Below are 27,744 nucleotides of genomic sequence, written 5' to 3'. Positions count from 1 at the left end.
GGTCCTGGATACCTCGGAATCAATTCCAGACATTTGGGGTTGAGTCATCGGAAGAAAGGAAATAGAGACGTCTGAATTTTTCACATCACTATATTTTAAACATGATTAGGCAAGTATATTTTTGTTACTAAAATAGTAAATACATTTTACTAAGAGTGAAGTACATTTTGTTACTAAAAAGGAGAAAAGTTATTCAAAATGATAAATATGGAATTAATAAGCTCTCGCATTAGAAGAAAATAGGAAGAAAGTTAGCAAAGAAAGGGGTGAACTGAAAGCGTCAACATGCATTCGTGAAAGTCTGGGTGCAGTTTATTCTGATTTACTCTGAGGTGAGCTGAAATCAGGACCGCAGGGTGGGCGATGCATCTGTGACAAGGCTGGACAGACTCATGGGTGCCTGCCCCCCCTCCTCCTGCAGCCCCTCCCCCAGGGCAGGCCTCCTGTCCTGGGAGCCAGGCTGCTGGCATGTCACACAAAATCACGTGTGCTGGGTTCTGCACAGAGCAAAGCCAGGTATGCAGCACAAGGCAGGCTGTCTGGCTCTCGAAGACCCCGATAGAGAGCCCCCGCAGGCTGGGCATATTCTGACCCCAGAGGTGGCAGCTTCCTGCAGTTCCCTGATCTGTCATTCCTGTCCTGTGACTTCCAGGGAGGGGCAGCTCCTGGGAGACCCACCAGCTGACACCTGGGACTCTGCCCTTCCTTCCTAGGCTGCTGTGTGAGTGGGGCTGGGGTCTGGAGACCCTGAGGGCTGCCCCAACACCAACACCCCTGCCTGTGCTCCTCTTGTGACATGGGTGCGTCCTGTCTTTACTGCCGAAGCCACAGCAGGGGTTTAGGGAGCCCGTGCATCTGACCAGTACCTGTCTAACCCCACGCCGCCTGTGCCACCGTAATCTGACCGGTACCTGTCTAACCCCACGCAGCCTGTGCCACCGTAATCTGACCGGTACCTGTCTAACCCCACGCCGCCTGTGTCACCGTAATCTGACCGGTACCTGTCTAACCCCACGCCGCCTGTGCCACCGTAATCTGACCGGTACCTGTCTAACCCCACGCCGCCTGTGCCACCGTAATCTGACCGGTACCTGTCTAACCCCACGCTGCCTGTGCCACCGTAATCTGACCGGTACCTGTCTAACCCCACGCCGCCTGTGCCACCGTAATCTGACCGGTACCTGTCTAACCCCACGCCGCCTGTGCCACCGTAATCTGACCGGTACCTGTCTAACCCCACGCCGCCTGTGCCACCGTAATCTGACCGGTACCTGTCTAACCCCACGCCGCCTGTGCCACCGTAATCTGACCGGTACCTGTCTAACCGCACGCCGCCTGTGTCACCGTAGTCTGACCGGTACCTGTCTAACCCCACGCCGCCTGTGTCACCGTAGGACAGAGCACAAAGGAGCACCCAGGATGCACACCTGACACACTTCGCGGCCGAGCCGCAAGCCTGAGGAGCGGGAGACCCTCGCGGTTCAGCGGCGTGAGGGCAGAGCGACGGAGCCCCTCCGCTTCTGTCTGCGTGAGCACATTCGCATAGAACAAGAGTTCTGACCTGGTCAAACACTTGACACGCACATAATGGAGGAAACTTTTGGCATGCTATCAAATGCTTTCTCACATGCACACAACATCTCCTCCCCAGCATGAAGGAAAGGCAGCTGACCCTGGCCGACCCCACCCCAGGCTGGCCCCCACCAGAGGCCCGAGCGTTTCCCCTTCTGGCCACACGTTTCCAGTGGCCACCGTTCTCTACTGAGGACATCACCTCCAGCCGCTGGTCTTGCCAGGCAGCCTGTGCGAGGGTGAAACTGGCTGCCCAGCCTCCCAGCCCTGCCCTTACCGTGGTAAATTCCCCCCTCAGCAGGTGTCCCCATATCAGCCCTTGGGTCTGTCCCCTGCAGGGCCCTGCCTGGCAGCCCTGGGTACTACTGGTTCATCCACTCCCTACTGCCAAGCAGCCATCCTGTGCCAGGGACATGGGGCTTAGAATCAATCAGAGAATAAAACAGATGCAACCCTGCCCGTGTGGAGCTCACAAAATTCGGACATGGGAAGAGAACCACATTCACCGGGTGCTGATGCTGCAGTGTGACCGTGTCCCCTCCAGAATTCACATGACATTGTAATTGTCATTGCGGTGGTATTAAGAGGTGGGGCCCCCTACTCTTGCAAATGGCTTAATGCCTCATAAAAAGGCAGCGGAGAACTAGCTGAGGCCTGTTGACCTTCCATCCCCTCCACCACGTGAGGATGCAGTGTTCCCAGCAGAAACTAATCAGCCCACACCTTTATCTTGGACTTCCAGCCTCCAGAACTGTGAGAAATGATGTCCGTTCTTTTTTTTTTTTTGAGATGGAGTCTCACTGTGTCACCCAGGCTGGAGTGCAATGGCGTGATCTCGGCTCACTGCAATCTCTGCCTCCCAGGTTCAAGCAATTCTTCTACCTTAGCCTCCCAAGTAGCTGGGACCACAGGCATGCACCACCACCCCCAGCTAGTTTTGTTTTTTTAGTAGAGATGGGGTTTCACCATGTTGGCCAGGCTGGTTTCAAACTCCTGACCTCAAATGATCCACCCGCCTCGGCCTCCCAAAGTGCTGGGATTACAGGCGTGAGTCACCGTGCCTGGCCTGAATGTCTGTTCTTTATAAACTACCCAGTCTTAGGTGTTTTGTCACAGCGGCCCATACTGCCTGAACCACGACTTTCTGCGCTAAATGCCGTGTTGAAGAGCCCAGCTCTGGCGCCGGAGGCTGCGCCCAAGGCAGGCACGGCTGTTCACGAGTTGCGTCACCTTGGGCACGTCATCACCTCTCTGAGCCCCGAAGCTCCTCGACAGAAGTGGAATCAACAGTGCCCATTTCATTCAAGTTGTCCGGGCGAAGAAAATGGAAAATCATGTCCCTTAAGCGCAATACCTGGTAAAAAATCTCACACTGAACTGCGGCCATGACAACTCCAGCATCACCCAAGGAGCCTGGACACCGAGAAGGGCAGAAGCCTGTGCGGCCCAGCCCCCGCAGCGCGGCGAGGAGGCTGCACCAACCCTTGGTCTTCAGTCACTCAACCTCCCTGGCCCATTCTGTTTCCCAACTTAAGAAACAAAACAAAACATAGGTATAGAGAAGGATTTCACTATCGAAAGAGAAAGCGCACTGACAAGTGATCACACTGAAGCCAAGCTGGAGAGCCACATCCTGGCTAAACGCAGGGCCATTTTCTATCCGGGTCACCTGCCATCAGGTGGAGTTAAGGCCGATATTGCCCAATCGTCCTAGTTTTCAAGCAGTTCCAGAATTCCTGTTATGTGAACTCACCTCGTTTAACACTTGCTGTAACTCTCAATAGAGGATGTGAAGCACGCAGCACACACGTGCAGCTGAATGCTGGCCAATGTGGGCCGCTGAGTGGGCCGGGCCCAGGCTCACACCAACCTGGCACCAAGAAGTCAGAGCTCATGAATGTCGCTTGTACCATGCTCCACTATAGCTACATCCCCTCACACTGCCGGTCAGGGAGACTGAGGCCAGTGAGGACCATGGGAAAGTGCTGTGCCATCTGGAAGGTGTACGCATCATTAACATTTCACGAAGCCTTTTCCACCCCTAAACCCCCAACTTCAGGCTCTGCACTGAGGGGTCCCCGGACCAATGTGTGGGTGACACTGGACGGAGCGGGTGAGCCTGTGCTTCTCTACAGCACCTCCATCTCTATGCATCCACACACGCGTATGAAGATACAGGAGGTAAAGTGTGGACCCCTGGGAAGGTCAAAGTCCTAGTGGAGGTGAGATAAAAATTAGGCTGTCCACTTCCAACTCCAAATCGAATTCTGAACACATGATGAATTTATCATTATATTTTCTATCTCCAAGATAAAGCATTCACAGCAATATGAATAGGTTAGTTTATTTTGAGAGAGAGGAAGACATCATTTGGGTTCTGTAAACATCAGTCACTTTATTATGCCTCTGTCTGGCTGAAAAACACCAGCTCCTGCTGACTCCACAAGGGCACGGCTGCAGAGAGTGCTGCCTGCCAGGTGTGAGGTTTCCAGTTAAAAGTTTCAGCAGGGACACCATTTGCTGGATGTGTTTAAGATTAAAATTGCTTCGTAAAATGTGATAAATAGGTTACTATACACCTTGGTCAATATAGTTAAAGCACCAGCAATCAAAATACACCGCTCCGGGCCGGGTGAAGTGGCTCACGCCCGTAATCCCAGAACTTTGGGAGGCCGAGGTGGGCAGATCACTTTTAGTCAGGAGTCAGAGACCAGCCTGGCCAACATGGTGAAACCCTGTCTCTACTAAAAATACAAAAAATCAGCCAGGCATGGTAGAGGTACCTGTAATCCCAGCTACTTGAAAGGGTGAGGCAGGAGAATCCCTGGAACCCGGGAGGTGGAGGTTGCAGTGAGCCGAGATCACACCACTGGACTCCAGCCTGGGAGCCAAAGCCAGGCTCCGTCTCAAAAAAACGAAAACAAAAACTAAACAAAAACAAAACACTGTTCCGAGAGTTCCATAAAACATAAGGAACGTAAGTCACACATGATTCTCACGAGCAGCCGACGTTTTCCACGTACATTTCAAAGGTGCTTGTGATAAAAAATAAACTTTGAATTTTAATTGCACGTTTATATCAAAACACTCACACACACACACACACACACACACACAATTCTGTATGTCTGTTAACAACATTGCTAAATTGCTGTGTAACTTCTACCTGGGTATAAAACAGTAGAACAATGTACCTTGGGACTCATCATCAGGCAGCTCATTGCCAGGGGCTGCTGCAGGACCACTCTAGGGACCCCAGGACCCTGCAGTCGAGCATCTCTGAGGGGTCCAGGTCCACCCTACAGCTCAGGGAGAAAATGACATCACTACTTGTCTTGAAATCTACAGAGGAACACCAACCACAGAATTAGGGTCTAGATTGGGTGCCTGTAGGTAACTCAGTCAATTAAAAACAGCTCTGAAACCCAGACAACCTGATTATGAAATCCTTACCTTATTTTGTCAAATGAGCAACACAGTATGAATAATAACTTCTCATTTTAAAACAGGTACCATGATTTAAAAAAAAAAAAAACTTGCAAGATTTCATCTTTACCAGCCCACGCTCTGGTTGGTGGGGGTTAAACTCCAAGGCGTCTCTGCTGCTACAGGAGTCACTACCCCTCAGCGTTGTCTTTGTACCACTTGCCACCAGATGGCACTGCCGTACACTTCGGTCTAGAATTTTTTTTTTTTTTTTTTTTTGAGAGAGAGTCTTGCTCTGTCACCCAGGCTGGAGTGCTGGAGTGCAGTGGTGCGATCTCAGCTCACTGCAACCTCCGCCTCCCGGGTTCAGGCAATTCTCCTGCCTTGGCCTCCCAAATAGCTGGGATTACAGGTGTGTGCCACGACACCCGGCTAATTTTTGTAATTTTAGTAGAGATGGGGTTTCACCATCTTGACCAGGCTGGTCTCGAACTCCTGGCCTCAAGTGATCCACCTGCCTCGGCCTCCCAACGTGCTGGGATTACGTCGGGTGTGAGCCACCCCACCCAGCTTAGAATTTCATACGCTGGGAAGCTTTAATAAGGAACAAATCATGTTATTTTCTATCTTAGCCCAATTCTCTCCAACTGAAAAGAATGTGACTTCTGAATAAGACACACGGCATATGAGTGTGCAGCTGGAAAGAGTCAACGCTGACCCACCCGCCCTGTGGGAGGCACTTCACTATGAAGCCATTTCCAGCATTCAAAGCCACCCCACTCCTCAACAGGTGTGACGCCCCGATGCCTGGACACCATGGACTCCTCTCCTAGATGCTTGACACGGTCCGGCGCGGCTAAACTGACAGAGCCTGCCAGACAGTCATAAAATTATAATTTCTTAAAAATACTTTGTAGCTACTTCAAAATTAATACTAATGCGAAAGAAAGTTAGTATTTCCCTTAGAAGTAAACACAAAACATTCACTGCCTCATTAATTCAAAAGCCATCATTCGCGGGGCTTCCCAGAATCGGTGTGCCAGCTCTGCTGCCGCCCCGGAGCCCCGGCTGGAGCAGCTATGGCCTCTTCTTCCGCAGCAGCTGCCCGTTGCCTTCTGGCCTGCTCTTGGCTTCTGGCTGTGCGAAGTTCCAGTCCACCGGATTGAGAAGCTGCTGAGTCTTCTTATGGGTCCAATATGGATTAATGATTAGCGTAAGCAGAGCCAGTCCGACAAGGAACAGTGTCAAATGAGGCAGATACAGGCTGCTGACCAGGCCGTCCCAGTGCCAGAAACACACCCACCACATGTGGTAGGTTAGAACCATGCGGCAGTGAAACATGTGAATCATCAGCCACTGGTTGAGCTTCCAAAACAGAGACTCGGACCAGCCCGCCTGCATGGAGAGAAGACAAATGCACAAGTCAATGCGAAACTGCCAAAATTCATTCTTCACATCACAAAAAGGTATTTGCTACCTTACTTACCAAACAAAACAAATTCATTTCAAAGCAAAAGAATTTCCTCCCCAGGGCTCTGCTCTCATTGGGACTTCATTCTGAAAGGAGGCCACCAGCTCTGTGGGCGCACCTGGGCCAGCAGGGCTGACCCTTGCCCGCTCATGCTGTTTTCCTGCTCCTCTTGCTCTTTGGCTTCTGCTCCCTAAAGCTATGATAAATTCAACCTTTCTTTCAGTATCCCTTCAATCTTTGTTTTATCTTGAATTTTCTCATATTAAGTAAATAAACAATACTTATTTGGCAAAACCAGACACAGGTATATCAAGCTCCCATACCTAGACCCTGGGAAGTGATGAGGTCATGGGGGTAAGGCCCCATGATGAGATTAGTGTCATAAGAAGAGAAAGAGACCAGAGCCTTCCCCTCCTCCATGCTAGGACACAGCCAGAAGGTGGCCATGTAAACCAGGAAGTGGGTCTTCACCAGACATGAATCTGCTGGTGCCTTGATCTCAGACTTGCAGCCTCCAAAACTGTGAGAAAGGAATTTCTGCTATTCCAGCTGCCTAGTCTATGGCAGTCTGCTGTGGCAGCCTGAGCTGACTAATACAGTATACCTCCCCGGCAAAATATTCTAACTTGGGCCAGGCACGGTGGCTCACGCCTATAATCCCAGCACTTTGGGAGGCCGAAGTGGGTAGATCACTTGAAGTCAGAAGTTTGAGACCAGCCTGGCCAACATGGCGAAGCCCCATTTCTAATAAAAATACAAAAAAATTAGCCAGGCATGGTGGCGCACCATGTAATCCCAGCTAATTTGGGAAGCTGAGTCATGAGAATCATTTGAACCTGGGAGGCAGAGACTGCACTGAGCTGAGATCGTGCCACTGCAATCTAGTCTGGAGAAAGAGCAAGACTGTCTCAAAAAAATAAAATAAAATAAAAAATTCTAACACGTTCTTCTGGTGTTTTTGAATATTTAAAGCCCCAGGTATATTAGCTGTTATAGACAGTCCCCTACTCACAATGGTTTGACTTACAATTGTTTGATTTTATGGTGCAAAGATGATACACACTCAGTAGAAACTGTACTTCAAGTACCCACACAACCATTGTTTCAACTTTCAGTAGAGCATTCACTGAATTACATGAGCTGTTCAGCATTCTGTTGTAAAACAGGCTTTGTGCTATATGATTTTGCTCAAACGTAGGCTGATCCAAGTCTTCTGGGCATGTTAAAGGCAGGCCAGGCTATATACCATGATGTTCGGGAGGCTGCACATTTCTGACACAATATTTTTAACTTATGGTGGGCTTATTGGGATGTAACCCCATCCTGAGTCAAAGAGCATCTATTCTAAGTCTGGACTGAAAAAATTAATGTGAGGACAATTAGAAGAGAAAGGCCAGCGGAATGGAGTAACCCAGCCTGCCTCATACAACTGTCACGGGAGTCCTTCCCAGGTCTCAGAGGGGACCTCAGGGCTCTCGCATGTGCATCACGGCACCCTCATGCACACACACGCCTTCAGAGACCGCCAGTGCGGCTTTCCACAAACATACCAAGCACTTAGTTCACCCCAACCCCAGGTGCAAATGAAACACTCCCACCTGTGGTTGGGGCCACCTCAAGGTGGGCCAGGACCACATGCTTCACCGCACTCAGCATTGCTGAGGCACAGTGAACACTCAGGAAGAAGAGCAGAGGAAGCAGGATCCAAAACAAGCCTGGAGCCTCCAAACTGAATGGGACAGGGGAGAAACCCACAGACCAGAAGAACCTATGGCTGTCAGTTCCGGATGGTTAAGTGACATGGGATTGAAATGAAATGTGAAGAGTTAATACTATAACTTATTTCTTACTTGTGAAATTATAGAGTTAGGCTACAAGTTCTTGGAGGTTTTTGATATGTCCAAAGCAAAAGTCACAAATATAGCTGGTTCTCAGACCCTGGGGTGACTGCAGATCCTGGTTTGCCTGGGGCAGTCCCTGACATCCTTGTCTGGGTGGTAAACAGTATAGTCACTCTGACAACTGGCCACAACCACCAGGTCCATAAGTGGTGAAGGACAATGCTGGACTTTGGCACAGGCAAGTTTTCGATCTCACACCTCCCTCAGACCCATAGCGGCAGTACCAGGTGGGCCCACACCCAGGTGAGGCTGGACAACTGCACCTACAGCAGTGCCCAGGGCTCAGCGCCTTTATTTCAGTCAACAACGCACAGTGTATAGACAGTGGTTCCACACAAGATTATAATGGAGCTGAACAATTCCTATCATTTACTATTTTACTATACTATACTTTTTATCATTATCTTGGAGTGTACTCCTTCTCTGATGAAAATAAAGTTAACTATAAACAGCCCCAGGCAGGTCTTTCAGGAGGGTCCAGAAGAAGGCACTGTCACCATAGGAGGTAGCAGCCCCATGTCTGTTACTGCCCCTGAAGTCTCTCCAGTGGGACAAGGTGTGGAGGTGGAAGACAGTGATATGGATGATCCTGACCCTGTGCAGGGCTGGATGAATGTGTATTTGCATCTTAGATTTCAACAATTTAAAAAAAAGTTTCGAAAATTAAGAAAAGCTTACAGAATAAGGGTATAAAGAATATATATATATACACACAATGTATTTGTGTTTTAAGCTAAGTGTTATTACAAAAGAGTGGAAAAGTTTAAAAAATTAAAAATTTATAAAGTAAAAATGTTACAGTAAGTTAAGGTTACTTTATGATTAAAGAAATTTTTTTATATAAATTTAGCATTGCTTAAGTACACAGAGTTCATAAAGTCTATAGGAGAGTACAGTGACGTTCTAGGCCCTCACACTCACCACTCATTGTGACTCTCGCAGAGCAGCTTCCAGTCCTGCAAGCTCCATTCCCAGTGAACGCCCTGCACAGGTGTGCCATTTTTCATCTTTAACATGGTATTTTTACTATACCTTTCTATGTTTAGGTATGTTTAGATACACAAATATTTACAGTTGTGTTACACTTGCCTACAGTATTCAGTACAGCCATATGCTGTACAGGTATGCAGCCTGGGAACAATGGGCTTTGTCGCATAGAGCCGAGTGTGGAGTTGGCTTAGACATGTAGAAAGGTACTCTATGACGGCCACTCGATGACAAAATAGCCTAAGGACACATTTCTCAGAACACAGCCCGTCGTTAAGCAACGTATGACTGTACATGGAACGGTATCACACGCTGTGTACTCTTTTGCGTCCGGGTAACGTCTCTCACCGTGTCTGTGTAAACCATCCAGACTGCTGCCCACCCTTCTGCTGCGTGGACAAACTCAGCTCACAAGCCCTTTCCACTGATGATGGGACTTCAGTAGGACTCAGTCTGAGGCCAAATGAACAGCGTGGCTAAGACAATCCAAGTACCCCTGTTCGAGTGAACATGTGGGTGCACTGCAGTCAGGCACAGACCTATGCATGGAGCCGCAAGGACACCAGAAGTCTCACACGCTGTTTTCCTTTGCTAGTTATCAAACTGAAGACACTCAAGCATTTATCAAGTAAACAAAGAGCTGACAAAAACCAAAGGAAAGACAATGCTCCTTCTGCCACGCAATGGACTGCAGCATCGCTACACAAACGTGCGCCCCTCACAGAGTCCAGATTCCAGAACCTTCTGTCATCACGTGTGTGTGTGTACTGGAGCAAGGCCACACACACATCTGCCCGCACAGATTTCACCTTCCAGAACCTTCTATCATCATGTGTGTATATTGGAGCAGGGCCACATGCATATCCAACCCTCACAGATTTCACCTTCCAGAACCTTCTGTTATCACATGTGTGTGTACAGGAGCGGGGCCACATGCATACCCAACCCTCACAGAGTTCACCTTCCAGAACCTTCTGTCATCACATGTGTACTGGAGCATTACCACACATACAGCTGCCCCTCACAGATTCCAGCTTCCAGAACCTTCTCTGTGAACAGAAGCACAGTCACATGCAAGTATCCCCCTGACAGATTCCAGCTTCCAAAATCTTTTGTCATCATTTGTGTGCCGGGGCACTGCCACGCATGTGTGCCCCTCACAGATTCCAGCTTCCAGAATCTTCTGTCATCATGTGTGTGGAGCACCACCACCCACGTGTGCCCCTCACAGACTCAGCTTGCAGAATCTTCTATCGTGTGTGCTGGAGCACCACCACACACGTGTGCCCCTCACAGATTCAGCTTCCAGAATCTTCTGTCGTGTGTGCCGCACCACATGCATATGTGCCTCCCACAGATTCCCACTTACGGAAGACTGAGAATCGTCTTTGTTATGACCCGGCACCTGGCACAGGGCCTGCAAGAGTGCTCATTGCTCCTCAAGAGAGCGTACAGTATCAACAGGAGTGAAAAGAGTGTGTGTCTGAAGACAAAACACTGAAGAGTCGATGTTCTGAACATCAGAATCCTCTACAGTAGCTGGAAGGCCCCACACAGTGATGAACTGTACAGTACACTGTGCACTCAGCCCCAGACTCTCGCGAGCTCAGTCTTTATTCACTCACCATTCCCTCACAATTCACAAAAAGTTCTCCTCCACCATTTTCCTCACTTACTGAAAGTAGTCATCTTAAATTACCAATAGTAATATCAGAATGCAATCACTACCTTAAGTTTAGAAAACTCAAAGCTTGAGAACCGAAGAGTTCTTTGGTTTTACTAAGGCACTAAAATTTTTGTAGTCAAAGTCACCAAAGGCTTTGAGAAGAGTAGCAAAATCTACAGGAACAAAATCTGTGACATAACACATGCAAAGCTCTGGAGCCCGGCAGTTACATCTATACTTAAATATACAGTCACCCTCAGTATCCTTGGGGGACTGGTTCCTGGGCTCCCTGCAGATACCCAAAGCCACGGATGCTCAAGTCCCTTATATAAAATGGCTTTGTATGTGCATATAACCTAAGCACACTGTCCCTTACTCCTTAAATCATCTGTAGATTACTTATAATACCTAATACAATGTAAATGCTATATAAAATTGTTACATTTTATTGGTATTTATTTGTTATATTTTTTATTGTTATATTATTTTAAATTTTTCCCAAATATTTTTGATCCACAGTTGGTTGAATCCAGACACAGAACCCATGGATACAGAAGGTCGACTGTATACATACATATATATACACACACATGTATATATACAAAATATATAAAAACTGACAGCGGGTTGTGTTTTTGTTTGAGATAGGGTCTCACTCTTGCCCAGGCTGGAGTGCAGTGGCGTAATCACAGCTCACTGTAACCTTGAACTCCCAGGCGATCCTCCCACCTTAGCCTCCCAATTGGCTGGTACTACAGACGTGTGCCACTATGACCAGTTAATGTTTGTATTTTTTGTGGAGACGAGGTTTTGCCATGTTGCTGGTCTTGAGCTCCCGGGCTCAAGTGATCTGCCTGCCTTGGCCTCCCAAAGTGCTGGGATTACAGGTGTGAGCCACCGCACTTGGCCTGACAGTGCTTTTATATCACCTCATTTGTATTATGAACTAGTGAGTCTGTGGATAAATAGTAGAACCAAATCTAAGACAGAAATACGAAGAATAAGCCACTGTGCTTGACTTAGACCCCCATCCTAAATTGATGGTAATATTTTGTCTTTACATCCTTTAGTTCTGATCAAATCAGACCTTGATGGGGGAGAAATGTTGAATCCTCATGCCCTACTACTATGCAAGAATCTATCAGCTTTAAAAGAATTTCAAAGAATTTCAACATTTTAGACATAGTGTTTTCTTACTGCATTTATTAGTATTTCAACTAGAGCAAAATAGAACTATGTAGACATACTGGCCCTGAGCTATATTAATTTAGGTTATAATTTTCTCTTATTAGGGTCTGTTGGCTTTATACAGTTAACATGAGCAGGGTTAGAAGTAAATACTTAAATAACCCTTTCTCCATTCTACACAAACAGCACCCTAAAAGCTTTAGAGAATGTGCAAACTTCAAAATAAAATCTCGCTGAGTCTGTCCTCCTGGAGGCTGGGCTCCACCACCACACCAGGGGAGGGAGAACTGCTGGAGACGCTGTCCCCACACCTGGCTCCAGGAGAAGCACAGATAAAACCCTGGAGAAATCCAACACTGCTTTCCCCTGAGGACTGGAGAGACAGAAAGACTCACGTCTTTCTTGTTGTTTTTAAAGAACTTGTAATAAAAATAAAATACAAGATAACTATTAATCTATTTCTCAAAATACACTAATGACCTCAAGCACACCATCTTGTGGGATGTATTAATAATTTAGTCACTATTTACCACTTGGGACATTGATGTGGTATTGATGTTTAGGGCATCGATGTGAGTGAGCGCCTCTGCTTTCCTTTCAAGAACTTTATTTTCTGCCACAGCCGAGTGACTCCTGAAGTCCGGTGTTTCCAGGTGAGAGGAGTAGGCAATGCGGAGCACAGGCCAAGGCCTCTTCCTCCAGCACACACCTCTCCACTCCACACTGATCTCACTCCAGAGAAACCCAGGGAAGTCACAGCCCTGACCTGCATCCCAGAAGTCTGCACTCTTATGGAAATAACGCCCACAAAGAGAAAACTGGAAAACTGCAAGCTGCGTACAGGATGCTGATGGGGTCCCAGGTCACAGCATCGTTCCCAAAATGACCCACACTTAGACCAGCAGCTTCATATTCAGTCATTTGCTCGCCAAGGGAACTCAGTAGCCAGGTCACCGGAGGGGCTCTTTCAAACTATTCATGGTTCCAACCCTTCTTCCTTGGTAAGTTCTACCCAAATCACACCGGCCCCCAACCTCCTCCTGCCACCGCCCAAACCACGCACTCACCAGGATGTCTCCAGTATCGCCTGCCATAGGCTCCATCTACTTCCATGGCCACCCTGTGAGGCTCTGTACTGGCGACGACTGTGCCTCACTCACCCTCATTCACTTGCCTTAACTCCGAGGTGCTCACCTGCTCCTCCTGCAGAGGGTCCGCATCTGGGGCCATGGTTTCTCTGCACTTTCCTGTCACTGTGCTCACACACCCCATCTGGTGCCAGATGGGGCCAACCTCAGGGGACACCAGGAACACAAGTTCCTCCTTGAGTTCCCAGGTGCCAGCACAGTATCTGACACCCGGCTGGTGTCCATGGTGGTTATGCATGAACAGTCTGTACTGTTTACACTGCAGTGCACTTTTGATGGACTGATATCATCTACCCACCTCGACCCCGAAGGCAGGAGTGATTTGTTATGCTTATTTTTCCTCTCGAGGCTACCAGTCTCCTGTAGACAAGAAATGTGCAGTAACATGACCCATTTGTGTGAATGGCTGAACATTTGCAGGATCTCAAATTTCATATCAAATATCCCATAAACAATGTGATGGGTCATAAAAGATAGCAAGAATCTATGTAAAAACAATTTTAAGGCTGTGCACGGTGGCTCATGCCTGTAATCCCAGCATTTTGGGAGGCCAAGGCGGGGAGATCACCTGAGGTCAGGAGTTCAAGACCAGCCTGGCCAACACAGTGAAACTCCGTCTCTACTAAAAATACACACACACACACACACACACACACAAATTAGCTAGGCGTGGTGGTGGGCGCTGTAATCCCAGCTACTTGGGAGGCTGAGGCAAGAGAATTGCTTGAATCCGGGTGGCGGAGGTTGCAGTGAGCCAAGATCATGCCACTGCACTCCAGCCTGGGCAACAGAGCAAGATTCCGTCTCAAAAGGAAAAAAAGTTTAAAGAGTTTAACATGAAGAACATTTTGACATCAATATGACAATCAAGTGACAAATATTTTTAAAACATGTTCTTCAAAAACAGAAAGAAAGTGCTAGGCAAATAACTATGCTAGGTCCCAACACTTCTGAGCACTAGTACAACAACCTTATTCAAAAATAAAAAGCAAGCAAGGTATGTGTGTACGCACAGATATTACTTCAGTTTTTCTAAAGTATTAAAAGAGGCCAGGCACGGTGGCTCACATTTGTAATTCCAGCACTTTGGGAGGCCCAGGCAGGCGGACCACAAGGTCAGGAGTTCAAGACCAGCCTGACCAACATAGTGAAACCCCATCTCTACTAAAAAGACAAAAAAGGTAGCCAGGTGTGGTGGTGCGCACCTGTAGTCCTAGCTACTAGGGAGGCTGACGCAGGAGAATCACTTGAACCCAGGAGGCGGAGGTTGCAGTGAGCCGAAACCATGCCATTGTACTCCAGCCTGGGCGACAGAGTGAGGCTCCGTCTCAAAAAATAAATAAATAAATAAATATAGTATTAAAAGAAAGGAAAAAATTAAGTGCTTCCAGACGCTATCTACTGAGCCATAAAATCTACTGAGCTTTCTTTCCTTAAGGAAGAGAAAGCCTAAAAGACTTAAAATTAAGAAAATTGCCTCCAGCCTGGACGAGAGCCAGAATCCGTCTCAAAATAAATAAATAAATAAACAAAACCAGAATATTGCATTCAACTAAAATGAGTTTGTAACTGAATGTGTGTGCTGCAATCCAGCCTGCTGTTGAGTTTATGGCAGCGTCCAGGACATTGTAGCCAGTGATTAAATGCGTGAGGCACATGTCATCTTCTGCTGATGCATGCACTTACCTTTAAGAGCATCCAGGAAACGCAGGTAAAGGGCGTGCTCATCTCCAGGAGCAACGTGGTCATAGCTAGATAGTGGCCAGCTTGGAGATTGACCAAGCAGCCAAGAAACCCAAGAAAGGCAAAGAGATGGTGGATAACCAGAAACAAGTCAAATGTCCGGAAGATCAAGTTGGACAGGTGGACTGCAACATTTTCAAAGCAAAAGAATCCCGTTGCTGTCGTGATGTGAAACCAGCACCAGTTCTGCTGGCCACGCGCCTTGTCGGCATGCAGCACAGGGTCCCCCAGCAGAGCCCACAGGCCTGCGGCTGTGCTCTGAACACCAAAGACTGCACGCGTGGCCGCCAGGTCCCAGAAGACCTTCTCTCTGGCCACCAAAGAACGGTAAGTGGCATTCAGGGAAGAGGACAGCTGGTGGCAGACCACAAAGACGCCCAAGTAGAAGACAAAGCCAGCGACCATCAGCGTGGAGCGGATCCCCCAGGATGCATAGTCCAGGTCAAAAATGCTCTCTGATGTGCCCCCATCGCTCGCAGGATTCATTGTCCACAGCTATATTCCAAAGGAGTCCTGGGGCCAACACGGGCCGGGCCCTACACTGTGTCTTGTCTAAGGAAATGAAGTCAGTGCAGCGGTCCCTGGGATTGTCACGTATCCATCTTCAATCTAAAAGAAAGATCATTCATTTTGTGTTGACTCGATAGAAACAAGGACACATCACTACCCCAGTAACGCAAACATTAAACTACAAAATATTTAATTCTGTACCTTATTCTTAATGAACTTACAAGGGTGCATAAACATACCAAGGTAACATCCACTGACAGTATAGGAGGAAAGAAAATGAAACTAAAGCTAGAGCGGTCCAGCCACGAACAGGAGGCCGGAGCCGTGCTGGCAGGAACACACGGTCCTATGCTCGTCCTATGTGCACCCCACCAGCAAGTCTCCCGCCTTCACAGCAGTCCCAATCAGTCACACAATTCAGGCATCGCAGGATGAAACATATTTAAGTCATTACACTGGGATACACTTTGTTACAGCACTGAACTTCTGCTGTTTGATCCTAGTTAACACCCCAAGGATGTCACGAAAACCTGTGCTCCTGTTCTTCATGTTATTCCTTGGTTAAGGCCATGGAATGCCTTCTCAACAGCAGCAGGGAAGGCCTGAACTCCTCACTGTGACCTACGGCACTCTGCAGAATGTGATTATCAATTATACCTTCTCTGGTTCCACTCTCACCATCCCCTGCATCTCACTCCATGCTATAACCTTCCAGTCCTTTGAAAACATCACACTCTCCTGCACCTCTGGGTCTCTGCAGCTGCTGGGCCCTCTCCTGGAAAAGTCTTTACCTTCCCCAAGTTGGCATCATCTTACCTGTCAGGTCCTCACTTAAAGGCCATTTGCTCCAGATGCCCTCCCAGAGTAGGGGAGACCCATGGACTGGGTTAAGTACCTTTGCTACAAGCTCCTGATGCATACCCCAAACACTCATTTTTGGTGTTTGGGGTGTTAACTAGGATCAAACAGCAGAAGTTCAGTGCTGTAACAAAGTGTATCCCAGTGTAATGACTTAAATATGTTTCATCCTGCGATGCCTGAATTGTGTGACTGATTGGGACTGCTGTGAAGGCGGGAGACTTGCTGGTGGGGTGCACATAGGACAAGTGCTTACTGAATCCTCACCTCCACTGGACAGCAAGCTCTGTGAGGGCACAGACCACACCTGCCTTCCATCACAGCATCTCCTCTGCCTGATGCAGCACTGGGTCCACAGTGGGCCCTCAAGAAACATTTATGGAACACATGAACAGATGCTGAATCATGCTGAAAGGGTCCACTTTACCTAAGCCTGAACCTGTCTGCAAAGCTACAAACACCAGAGTCTCAAGTTCTTGAAAAACTGGAAGGGACGTGTGATTGATTCCAGCCTTTCCTTTTACACGGCAGGAAACCCAGGCACACAACGATGACATAGGAACGGCTACCGACAAAGACTCAGGTCCCCGCCTGGTCCCCCCTCACCCAGTGTGCAGGGACTTGTCCAGGTAATGGAATTTCTGCAGGGAGTGGGGACTCTTGTCACTCACACCCAGCGAACAGACAGCAGGGCTGGGAACACCACACTCCCCACGCAGCTGGACCCTCTGCTCTCCGGAAGAGACCCCAGAATTGACTCAATTGTGAGACAGCAGGACTAGAGCCAGAAGCATAGGAGGAGCCATTCACTGTGGCCATTCAGCAAAAACTTGCCAATCATTATTCAGGCAAAAAGGTCGCTGTGACCACACCCCAAGGACATGGAAAACACTAGCTCACACAAGCATGCAAAGAATGTGAGTCCTGGGACCTGATGCAAATGACAAGGGAGCACTGATCACTCCTAACCTCTTGCTTTGATAATGGTCTATAATCAAAGGCAAAATAGTACAAGAGTTTGTCTGTTTCTCCATTAACACTCCAGCTTTAACACAGACTAGCTCTGTTTGAACACAAATCTGATGTGGGGAAAGACAGCACTGGTACTCATGTTTCTCCCTAGAGAAACGGCTCCCGTGTCATGCTGCCCCTGGTGCGTGAGTTCAGGGCACACAGGCGTGCTCTCTGATAGATGCTATGGATGACAACTGAGGGGCTGCCATGCCCATGTGTGCCCTCGTGACCCACACTTCTGGTCATGCTATATATCAAGACTCCAGTGTACTTACACATCTCCAAACACATTTCTGTTAACCTGTTGACAAATCAGGTTGAACATGGTATTAAGGGGCTGGCAAGAGCACTCGGCTCTGGTATTCAGTGTGCAGCAAGGCATCGTTGAACCCCTATGCACTTCACAGGAGCAGATCAACTTCAAGTGCAGCCTAATGCCTGGAGGGGAGACCGCTTACCAGCATTAAAGAAAAGCAGGCTGGGTGGAAAGGACAGGTATCAGGCAAGGAATAGCATCCATTACAAGGGTTAACGTGAACAACACTGTTAAAGGTTAAAATATGGACCCCTCGTAAAACTTCTCCCTGTACTTTTCCACGAGTAGGTCATCAGCTCTGACTTATAGGTCCCATTTTGCCACAGTTGCATCAATGTCCGCTTGGCCAAGACCACTAACTTCTGTAGGACCTCTGCCTTGAGACGAGAGAAACCCCGACTCCAGAAGGCTCTGCCCAGATCAATGACTCAAATCCACCTCAGTGGAAGTGGTGAGCCCAAGTGATGCTTCAGGAGGTCTTTGGTTTGGTCAAGGTGAGAGGGACTCCAGGACATGAGAACCAAAAACCAAGAAGAGCGGCTGGCTTAGTGGGCTCTGATCTTGATTTCACTATTTAGGAGCTAAGAAACCAAGTTTCAGGCTGGGTGTGGTGGCTCACACCTGTAATCCCAGCACTTTGGGAAGCCAAGGTGGGTGAATCACTTGAGGTCAGGAGTTCAAGACCAACCTGGCCAACACGGCAAAACCCTGCCTCTACTAAAAATACAAAAATCAGCCAGGCGTGGTGGTGCGCACCTGTAATTTGAGCTACTCAGGAGGCTGAGGCAGGAGAATTTCTGGAACCCAGGAGGGTGGAGGTTGCAGTGAGCCGAGATCACACAACTGCACTTCAACCTGGGCAACAGAGCAAAACTCCATCTCAAAAAAAAAAAGAAAGAAAGAAAACAAGTTTCTTTCCTAACCACCCTGGACCCCAGAATCTGACTACAGGAAAAAGAAATACACAGAGCAGGCCGAGTGCAGTGGCGCACGCCTGTAATCCCAGCACTTTGGGATGCCAAGGCAGGTGCATCACAAGGTCAGAAGTTCGAGACCAGCCTGGCCAACATGGTCAAACCTCGACTCTATTAGAGATACAAAAAATTAGCTGGGCGTGGTGGTACATGCCTGTGATCCCAGCTACTTGGGAGGCTGAGGCAGGAGAATCGCTTGAACCCGGGAGGTGGAGGTGGCAGTGAGCTGAGATTGCGCCACTGCACTCCAGCCTGGGTGACAAGATGAGACCCCGTCTCAAAAAAAAAAAAAAAAAAAAAAAAGAAAGAAACATACAGAGCAGCGGGAAATGAAGCACCTACTACAAGCCAGATGTTCAACTAGTTTGTGTGATCTTCACCATAAGAGCAAATAGCTACCAGGTCTTCAAGCTTTCTAGATATCTTTTTGGAGAGATTACCATATCTACAGAAAAGTGGCAGATAGGTGAAAGACATGGAAACAGAAACAGGTAAGCCACAGCTGAGTGGGCAAACCCTCCTGGCAGTCAGAGAACAGGTGCCAATTAGGGATGCAGAAACAGCAGATTATAAAGACCAGAATGCTTACTTCCCCTTCCAGTCCTGTAGTGAATCCCCCATTCTGATTCTTTGCTCAAACCTCCTGACTTTCTGGGTAAGCTGGTGCTGTTCTAGTCTAACTCGTTACTGTGGGTCTCTGAGTTTAGTTAATGCCAACCAGCATCCTCCAGCCAGGAGTTCACAAAGGAGGTGAACTCCTCAGCTCTCTCAGCCATGAGGGTAGAAGGCCAGTCCCAGAGGCAGGATCCAGCCCAAGCGCCCAGTCTTCCTGGAGTCCTGCAGAGCTCTGCTGTCCTTTCGTGGCATCAGCGTTGTACTGAGAACAGCTGTGGTTCACCCCAAGTCACAAGGTGGGCACCCACAGAAGTGTGGCTAGGCCTTGTTCTGTCAGGCAGCACAGAAGGGGTATGGGAAGAGCTCAGCTTCTCCTTTTGCTTCTATTTCTGCTCCTTGACCCAACCACACCCTCTCACTCTTGATACGCAAAATGGGACACAGGGGTTCCCACTGTTCCCTTGCTGTGCACCATAAGGCTCAGGCCACATGAAGGAGTCCTTAAGTGTAATGCACAGCTGGAAGTCACTGTTCCTTCCATGGGTAAAACTGGAGGCCGAATCGGCCGGGCAGGGTGGCTCACACCTGTAATCCCAGCACTTTGGGAGCCCAAGGTGGGAGGATCACGAGGTCAGGAGATCGAGACCATCCTGGCTAACATGGTGAAACCTTGTCTCTACTAAAATACAAAAAAAAAATAGCCAGGCGTGATGGCGAGCGCCTGTAGTCCCAGCTACTCGGGAGGCTGAGGCAGGAGAATGGCGGGAACCTGGAAGGCGGAACGTGCAGTGAGCTGAGATAGCGCCACTGCACTCCAGCCTGGGTGACAGAGTGAGGCTCCGTCTCAAAAAAAAAAAAAAAAACAAAAAACTGGAGGCCGAACCTAATGGACTCATCTGGTTCTTTCATTCTGGAAGGCTTCCAAGCCCTTCCACACCAGCCCCTTTCCTCTCTGCAGTAGAGGAAGTGGAGCCGGAGAATAAACAACTCCTGGAAGGCCACCATCTCTTGACGCTGCAGATCTTCATTTTCTTTGGAGAAAATGTATACAAAAAGCTTGTCTTATAAGATTCTGTGGTTTCAGCTCTTCTATTGCACTGGGCCATGAAGTTTTTTAAAAATCTGAATGCAAACACATCAGTAAGAGTGTTAGCTCTGTTGCTGCAGTGTGACCAGGAACCAGGCTCAGTGGCCACTGGAACCCTTCGACTCTGTCATGCATCTATGCGCTCCTCCGGTTTATGGGGGCTAAACTGCTATGGATACCAGCATTTTTGTTTTTCATTGAGATAATTTATCCAAACTTGGAAGTGACGTCAAAAGGGAAAAAAAAGGTTGCATGCTTTTTTCCCTGCTAACGCAAGTTCAGTGTTTTACAACCCCAACAATCACTTGACTTTCTAGGAGAAATAACTAAACTATTTACCACTGATTGTGGGTCACGCATTTTACAATCTGCAAAGCTAATTCTCCTTTCCATCAAGAAGAAAAGACAATCCCAAAGGCTGTGGTTTCAATGCACACAGGATATTCACCAATCTTATTATCTAATCTGGCAATCTTCTCTCAGCATTCCTGTTACCCACTCACTAAGAAAATCCTAGTTTTGTGTATTCTCTTTTGAACTGACATTCCTATCCTGCTGTATACTGCATTAATGACTGAAATATAACCTGACAAGAGCTATTTACATGAGAATTATACTTCTAACATTTTGAAAATTATACATTGATGGGTTGTAAAAATGTTTTCCAAAATCAACAGAAATACATGTTTAATACACAAAATTCAGAAAATATAAACAAGCATAAAAATACAAAAATAAAAATTTACAATCCTCTTACACAGCTCCAAGCACCATCACTATTTTTTGGTGCCTGCTGGGTCAATTGTTTTTCTAGATATAAACTCTTCTTTTTACATAAAAGGGGATAACAGTATACAAGCTGCTCCCCGGCCTGCTTCTCTTCTCTCAGCAACAGCTAATCCTCCTCTGCAACACGGTTGCAGGGACTCCACCATTTACCTACCCGGTGTCCTACCAGGCTTTTGCCCAGTTCCTCGTTATCAGAAGACATTGTGTATTGAACATCTCTGAGGCCACCTAGAGAACCTGTGCTCTTTGTATGGAAACTGGATGCTCAGGAAGAACTTCCTTAACAACCACAGCCTCCATGACGGCCAATCTGAAAGTGAGGCACAGAAGTGTTCAAGCTCAGTGGGGAGCTGTGGCCATCTCATATTCCCTCAATCACTCACACTTCCTGCACCATTGCTCTTTCCTCTCACAACCTTCCTGAAAAGTTGTATGTAAATAAAAATCAAAATACGGGAGTGAGGTAAGCAGAAGCTGGATAGTTACAGATTTCACACAGAGGGTAAACTGAAACAGGAGTCAGAAGCAGCCGCCTCGCGCCAGTCTTTCAGAGAAGAGTCACTTACAGCAGAATCTACACAGGCTGGGGAGCCCCTGGCTCCCCTCCCTACTGTCCACACCCAACCCCAACCTAGAGCAGCTGGCTATAGGGCCCAGAGCCCAGGCGGGTCCCACCTCCTGCTGACCTGACCCAGCGCCCGCTCTCTCCCCCGCACACTTTGGTGACCTTACCCAGCGTCCCTCCCCGCTCCTACAGGTTCTGACTGACCCAGCGTCCCTCCGCCTCCCACACCATGTTGAGCTGCACCTTGTCCCCTTCCGCCCCAGCTAACTCGGTGACCAGTGGAGGCCACACCCACGTGACACCTGCTGTCCTTGACAGCAGCTCCGACGGCACCTCTGTGGCTCTGCAGGAGCCGCCTCCCCGCCTCGTGGGCACACAGGTGAGCTGACCGTACTTGCCCAGCCGGTCTGAGGGAAGCGAGGTCAGGGGCGACGGCGCCGCCTCCGCCTCCGCCTGTCCCCTCCCTCCGTCCGGCATCCGCGCCGCTCAAGGACTCCAAAGTCAGCGTCGCGGTGAGGAGCCCCCCACGCCCAACCCGCGCAGGCAGGACCCCGGGCTGCGGGGCTCGAAAGTCCCCCACAAGCTGCTGTCCGGGAACCGCACGGCCCGGGGTGCCGCACGCCCACCGGAAGGCAGGGCTGGGACCGCGGACGCCAGGAGCCACCCCGGCCCCTCACCCGGGCTCCCCCTCACGTGGGCTCCCGCGCGCCCATCTGGGTTCCCCCTCAGCTGAGTTCCCGGCCCCTCACCTGGGATCCCCGGTCCCCTCACCCGGGCTTCCCAGCCCCCTCGCCTGGGCTCCACGCGCGCTCACCTGGGCTGCCCCTCACCTGGGTTCCCGGCCCCTAACCCGGGCACCCCGCGCGCTCACCTGGGCTGCCCCTCACCTGGGTTCCCGGCCCTCACCCGGGCTCCCTGAGCGCTCACCTGGGCTGCCACTCAGCCGGGCTCCCTGCGCTTGGCGCCGCCCCGCCCCTGCAGGACTCCCGGCAGTCACTGACCTCATTGCCGCCCAGTCACGACTGGCCGGCCTCAAACACCGCCCGCGCACGCGCGTTCGCACGCGCGTGCGCACGCGTTCTGCCCCCCTGGGGGCGTCGCTACGAGAGGCCCCGCCTAGGCGCTACGACGGCGGCGGGCGCGGGAGGGGCGGGGCGGCGGGCGCGGGAGGGGCGCGGCGGGGGGCGGGGCGCGGCGCGGGGGGCGGGGCGCGGCGGGGGGCGGGGCGCGGCGGGGGGCGGGGCGCGGCGGGGGGCGGGGCGCGGCGGGGGGCGGGGCGCGGCGGGGGGCGGGGCGCGGCGGGGGGCGGGGCGCGGCGGGGGGCGGGGCGCGGCGGGGGGCGGGGCGCGGCGGGGGGCGGGGCGCGGCGGGGGGCGGGGCGCGGCGGGGGGCGGGGCGCGGCGGGGGGCGGGGCGCGGCGCGGCGGGCGCTGTGGGGCGGCGGGGTGGACGCGCTGAACCACGGCCGGCGGGAGGGGCGGGGCCGGGCTGAACCATGGCGGGCGGCGGCATGGGGGCGGTGGGGCTCCGCGGGCAGCCTGGTTGCGCTGCACCCGGACGGGGCCGAGGGGACCTGAAAGCTGCGGCAGAGCCTGACCGCGCCGTTCTCCAGAAGAGCCCCGGCCGCGGCTGAGTCGCGCTCCGGGTGTGGACGGAGCCGGAGCCTCCCCGGGGCTCGGTGAGGACACAGGGCCCAAGCCCCGGACCTTCAAGTCTTGACCGAGCGCATCCCCGGCCCTTCTGCGCCCACACCTGAGTTTTTGTCTGTAGGAGTTTCCGCAGTTTGCTAAGGTTGTTATTCGAGTTACTTATGTTTCTTCTCTCTAAGGTTGTTATTCGAGTTACTTATGTTTCTTCTGTCTAATGTGTTTTGTTCCCTCTTTAGAATCGACATCTAGAGGAGTACTCACCACTTAATTGATGATCAATACACGTTCCTTGAAAGAACCGATAGCATGCGATCGATACAGAGCATCTGCACTGGGATTGTCCGCCCCGCCTGTCAGGGAGGCCTCGGGGGCTAATGGAGCTGAGGGTATAGTCGGCCTTGGACCCTCGCTTTTTTCCTTTCCTGTACTATGAAGATAACTGCCTTATCTCCCCCTCAGGACTGTTTTGGGGATTAAATAGGACGTTTAAATTACCAACGCTCTTTGAAATAAACATTTCAAAATTATTATAACCCTTTAGTACATGTGGGAAAACGTTGACATTCATGTTCAAGTTTATTTTTCTGCTGGCTCATTTAGGTTTGTTGAAGCCTTGAGTCCCTAGGATTGTCTAAGAACATGGGTAAATGTGTGTGGAGGCCTCCCTGGAGGCCAGAGAACTGCCAGCAGCCTTCATGATGTTAGGGGAACAGGAACCTAGGAGAGCCAGGGTGACATCGTTTTAAAATCAACAACCCATCTTGGCGGGCGCGGTGGCTCAAGCCTGTAATCCCAGCAGTTTGGGAGAAAAAAATTAGCCGGGTGTGGTGGTGGGCACCTGTAATCTCAGCTACTCAGGAGGCTGAAGCAGAATTGCTTGAACCCAGGAGGCAGAGGTTGCAGTGAGCTGAGATCACGCCATGGCACTCTAGCCTGGGCAACAAGAATGAAACTCTGTCTCAAAAAAATAAAAATAAAATAAAATAAACTCCATCTTAAAACCAGTGAAACCACCATTGCAAAATTATAACTGAGACAGTGAGAGATCTGACCTAACCAACTCCATCCTACTTTTAACCTCCAAACTGTCCTTGTTCATTCCTGGGTGTAGGCCAAACTAACTTTGGAAGAAACTTAGTTTATGGTTTCCCGAAACAAATCCTTTTCTTGTCTGGAGACTAGACTGCCTTTGTAGGACTAACAAATTAGCCACAAGATTAGAAATTATGGTTTAGAATTCATGCAGCTGGAGATTACAAGATTCTGACCCTCCCTAAATTGCTCCTGGGGATAACATCACTATTGAAAAACCTAACAACAGTGCTTGAGATATTTTGCAGACCTTGCACTTGCTGAATTAGCTGGGACCATCCAGATGGATAAACTGGCTCATCTGATCTTGTGGCCCGCACTCAGCAACCGGCTCAGGCCAAGAGGACAGCTTTGATCCATACGATTTCATCTCTGATCTGACCCCTCAGTGCTCCCAGCTTACTGGCCCCCTACCTACCAAATTATCCTTAAAAACTCTGAACTCCAGGGCTGGGCACGGTGGCTCACACCTGTAATCCCAGGACTCTGGGAGGCCGAGGCAGGCGGATCACTTGAGGTCAGAAGTTCAAGACCAGCCTGGCCAACATGGCAAAACCCCGTCTCTACTAAAAATACAAAAATTAGCCAGGCGTGGTGGTGCACGCCTGTAATGCCAACTACTTGGGAGCCTGAGGCAGGAGAATTGCTTGAACCCTGAAGGCGGAGGTTGCAGTGTGCTGAAATCGCACCACTGCACTCCAGCCTGGGCAACAGAGCAAGACTCCATCTCAAAAACAACAGCAAAAACTCTGAACTCCGAATTCTTGGGGAAATTGATTTGAGTAATAATAAAACTCTGGTCTCCCGCACAGCCAGCTCTGTGTGGATTATTCTTTCTCTATGCAGTTCACCTGTTTGGATAAATCAGCTCTGTGTAGGCAACATGAACCTGATTGGCAGTTACAGTAGCCTGTAATCCCAGCTACGTGGGAGGCTGAGGCAGGAGAATTGCCTGAACCTGGGAGGCGGAGGTTGCAGTGAGCCGAGATCATGCCACTGCACTCCAGCCTGGGCAACAGAGCAAGACTCCATCTCAAAAAAAAAAAAAAAAAAAAAAAAAGATGGCTATAGTCATGCTTAGATGTAGTTACGCACTGAAATGCCAAGGATAACGTTATTTACATCCACCAAGTACTAGATCTTGTCACACTGCCAGCCCACCTGCACTTACACGTAGCTTGGCTTTTACATTGATACAAGATGCCTTTGAAACAAAGATGGCACATTCTTCTTCCTGCTTTCCGCGGGCTCCCCACTCTGTATCAGAGCAGCTGTCTCTCACTGCACTCTGCGACTGCCTTGAGTTCCTCCCTGCGCAAGATCCGAGAACTCTCTCTTAGGGTCTGGACTGGACCCCTTTCTCCATCAGCACTGGGTTCCTTAGATTCCTACTAACAGCATGCTGAGGCCTGTCTTAACAAAGAATGAAGTGAGGCTTAGAAAGATGGAACCATAACTTGCTCAGTCACGTGGCTAGTAAGCTCTTCAGCTTGAATTTAAACATTCCAGGACTGTGTCTTTCCACTCGGCCATCTTTAAAGCAGAGTGATAAAATAGTTTTGTTTTCTAAAAAACCATCACAGGCATAACTGATCACAGGTATAACCAGTATCCATGCGGGGTGTGGAACACTGAATGAAACCCGGGCGGATTCCCAGCTTGCTCCGTCTCAGCTTGGGCACTGCTGTTTACAGCCTGTGTACTCCCCTCCCGCCCTGCCACCCACAAGTGTCTCACCTCCTTCCTCGACAGATCGAATGACACAACAAACATTTATCTTGGGTGCACAGCGTGTCAGGCGTCAGGCTAAGCACTTTGATAAACTGGTTCTTTCAAACATCACAGGTGTCTGACGCAGGCACCATTATCCACGTCATAGAAAAAAAACAGTGTTCAGTGAGCCTGAGGTTAGCAATGTGTGCACCTCCACACACTGCTAAATGACAAAGCTGAATTTTGAAGTACGATGCCATGAGGTGTCTGGAGTAGACAACCAAAATGACTTAATTGAGGTGTCAGGGGACTGTCTTACTTTCTGGTCACACAAGCAATATACGCTCATTGTGAGGTTTGGTTGTTCCATTACAAAAAAGACTGTTTTAAAAGCCATTAGCGGAGGGATGGGAGGAGTTCTCTTCTGCCTGTTTCTTCCTCCTAAACAGCAAAATGACGGTGTCCTCAAAGGGATGTATAATGAGCGAGAGGCGAAAAAGAACGTCTGTGATTTTAAATCCAGTGTCCTTCACCAGTGAGCAATAGTAGTTCTGTGAGTGGGAGAGCAGGACCGCGGTGCTTGCAAACAACACTTTAAAACACTGGAACCCAAGTTCAGGATCTGCTGACAGCACATCTGCAGGAAGCATGAGGGTCTCTGGACTCCCGCAGATCAGCTGCTCAGCTTCTCAGCCTCAATGTGGCAAAGACTCTACCTGACCTAACTCCAGGCAGGGTCCTCGAAGCCCTCAAGGCTCTGACCTGGACCCCTGTCCCCTTTCGTCCAAAAGAATCCTGCTGGGTCAATGCAGTGACAGTTCCCCGCCCCTGATATCATACTCCTCATCCCTCACCCTCGGTATCTTATCACCTGGCCTGCCTGTGGCACGAATCCTACCAAGTGGTTCTAGCAAGAACCCCCCTGGCCTGATGTAGCCTCTTCATAGTTTTCCGTCCGTTCTCACCCTCTCCGTGGCTGTACATTCCCGTTTTTCTTCTTACACTCAGAGTTGAGCCTAGTCCCACTGCAGTGGCCCCTGCACCTATCGCGATTCCTTTGAGACTGTAAAACAAAAATAAAATTCTAGTCCCCCGCCAACCCCGTTAGCCACGAGCTTTCCAAAGTAAACCTTAGAGACTAGTTCAGACCGTGATGGGAAGTGGGGGTGGGACAGGCTCCTTATACCCGCCTTCCGTTGAAATCCAGGCACAGCTGACCTGCATTAACGTCAAAGCAGAGATCTTAAGGTTGACAAAACAGACTCTGTAGCAATAAGATACTACATTCCAACCTGACTCTAGTATAGCATCACATGATAGAGAGCAGGCCCTGGAAGAAATCAAGCATTTTACCCCAGAATATATTTCTTTGACATATTTTGAAGGGGCCCCACACGGCTGTCTCTTGAGGGGAAAATCCACATCCTGCCAGAATCCCCTTCCCTTTCCAGGTCTTTTCCC

General features: G+C 49.6%; 1 protein-coding gene and 1 long non-coding RNA gene across 11 annotated transcripts in view, besides 5 other annotated features; one reads left to right on the top strand and one right to left on the bottom strand.

The window, feature by feature from the left end:
* The window catches only part of CLN8 (CLN8 transmembrane ER and ERGIC protein), a 33,512-nt gene continuing 5,840 nt past the window's right edge, over nucleotides 73-27,744 (bottom strand). For 2 of the 9 annotated variants that reach the window (XM_047421512.1, XM_005266022.2), the window contains 2 exons: nucleotides 15,046-15,711; nucleotides 73-6,393 (listed from right to left, as the gene is read on the bottom strand). In XM_047421512.1, the coding sequence (XP_047277468.1) occupies nucleotides 6,076-6,393; nucleotides 15,046-15,588 (861 nt within the window). In that variant the 5' untranslated portion in view covers nucleotides 15,589-15,711 and the 3' untranslated portion in view covers nucleotides 73-6,075. Of the gene's footprint in view, nucleotides 6,394-11,446; nucleotides 13,720-15,045; nucleotides 15,712-22,644; nucleotides 22,951-27,744 lie in introns of those variants that run through there. The other 7 variants (XM_005266023.2, XM_011534746.3, XM_011534745.2 and 4 more) reach the window with 7 other exon arrangements.
* Nucleotides 1,235-1,357: a silencer, noted in NCBI's record as "fragment chr8:1733452-1733574 (GRCh37/hg19 assembly coordinates)". NCBI's record gives its function as "represses an EF-1alpha promoter that drives an FKBP-Casp9 reporter gene in an ReSE screen in phorbol 12-myristate 13-acetate-treated (for megakaryocytic differentiation) K562 erythroleukemia cells {active_cell/tissue: K562(+PMA)}" and the evidence as "EXISTENCE:reporter gene assay evidence [ECO:0000049][PMID:32094911]".
* Nucleotides 2,431-2,930: an enhancer, noted in NCBI's record as "H3K4me1 hESC enhancer chr8:1731879-1732378 (GRCh37/hg19 assembly coordinates)". NCBI's record gives its function as "activates a minimal SCP1, AML or CMV promoter by ChIP-STARR-seq in naive and primed H9 embryonic stem cells {active_cell/tissue: H9 hESC(naive and primed)}" and the evidence as "EXISTENCE:reporter gene assay evidence [ECO:0000049][PMID:30033119]".
* Nucleotides 7,601-8,521: an enhancer, noted in NCBI's record as "H3K27ac-H3K4me1 hESC enhancer chr8:1726288-1727208 (GRCh37/hg19 assembly coordinates)". NCBI's record gives its function as "activates a minimal SCP1, AML or CMV promoter by ChIP-STARR-seq in primed H9 embryonic stem cells {active_cell/tissue: H9 hESC(primed)}" and the evidence as "EXISTENCE:reporter gene assay evidence [ECO:0000049][PMID:30033119]".
* Nucleotides 15,529-15,709: a silencer, noted in NCBI's record as "fragment chr8:1719100-1719280 (GRCh37/hg19 assembly coordinates)". NCBI's record gives its function as "represses an EF-1alpha promoter that drives an FKBP-Casp9 reporter gene in an ReSE screen in HepG2 liver carcinoma cells {active_cell/tissue: HepG2}" and the evidence as "EXISTENCE:reporter gene assay evidence [ECO:0000049][PMID:32094911]".
* Nucleotides 17,206-17,500: an enhancer, noted in NCBI's record as "tiled region #8503; K562 Activating non-DNase unmatched - State 14:Gen5'". NCBI's record gives its function as "activates a minimal TATA promoter and a strong SV40 promoter by Sharpr-MPRA in K562 cells {active_cell/tissue: K562}" and the evidence as "EXISTENCE:reporter gene assay evidence [ECO:0000049][PMID:27701403]".
* CLN8-AS1 (CLN8 antisense RNA 1) lies at nucleotides 22,059-24,680 on the top strand. 2 transcript variants are annotated; one of them, NR_134303.1, is made up of 2 exons: nucleotides 22,059-22,209; nucleotides 23,715-24,680. It is a non-coding gene; the product is annotated as a CLN8 antisense RNA 1 (long non-coding RNA). The 2 variants fall into 2 exon arrangements; NR_134302.1 differs by lacking the exon at nucleotides 22,059-22,209 and adding an exon at nucleotides 23,309-23,620.

This window comes from Homo sapiens, chromosome 8 (assembly GCF_000001405.40).
Source record: "Homo sapiens chromosome 8, GRCh38.p14 Primary Assembly".
Lineage (NCBI taxonomy): Eukaryota > Metazoa > Chordata > Mammalia > Primates > Hominidae > Homo > Homo sapiens.
The sequence above is the reverse complement of the archived record's forward strand: the minus strand, read 5'-3'. Positions and strand labels throughout refer to the sequence as shown.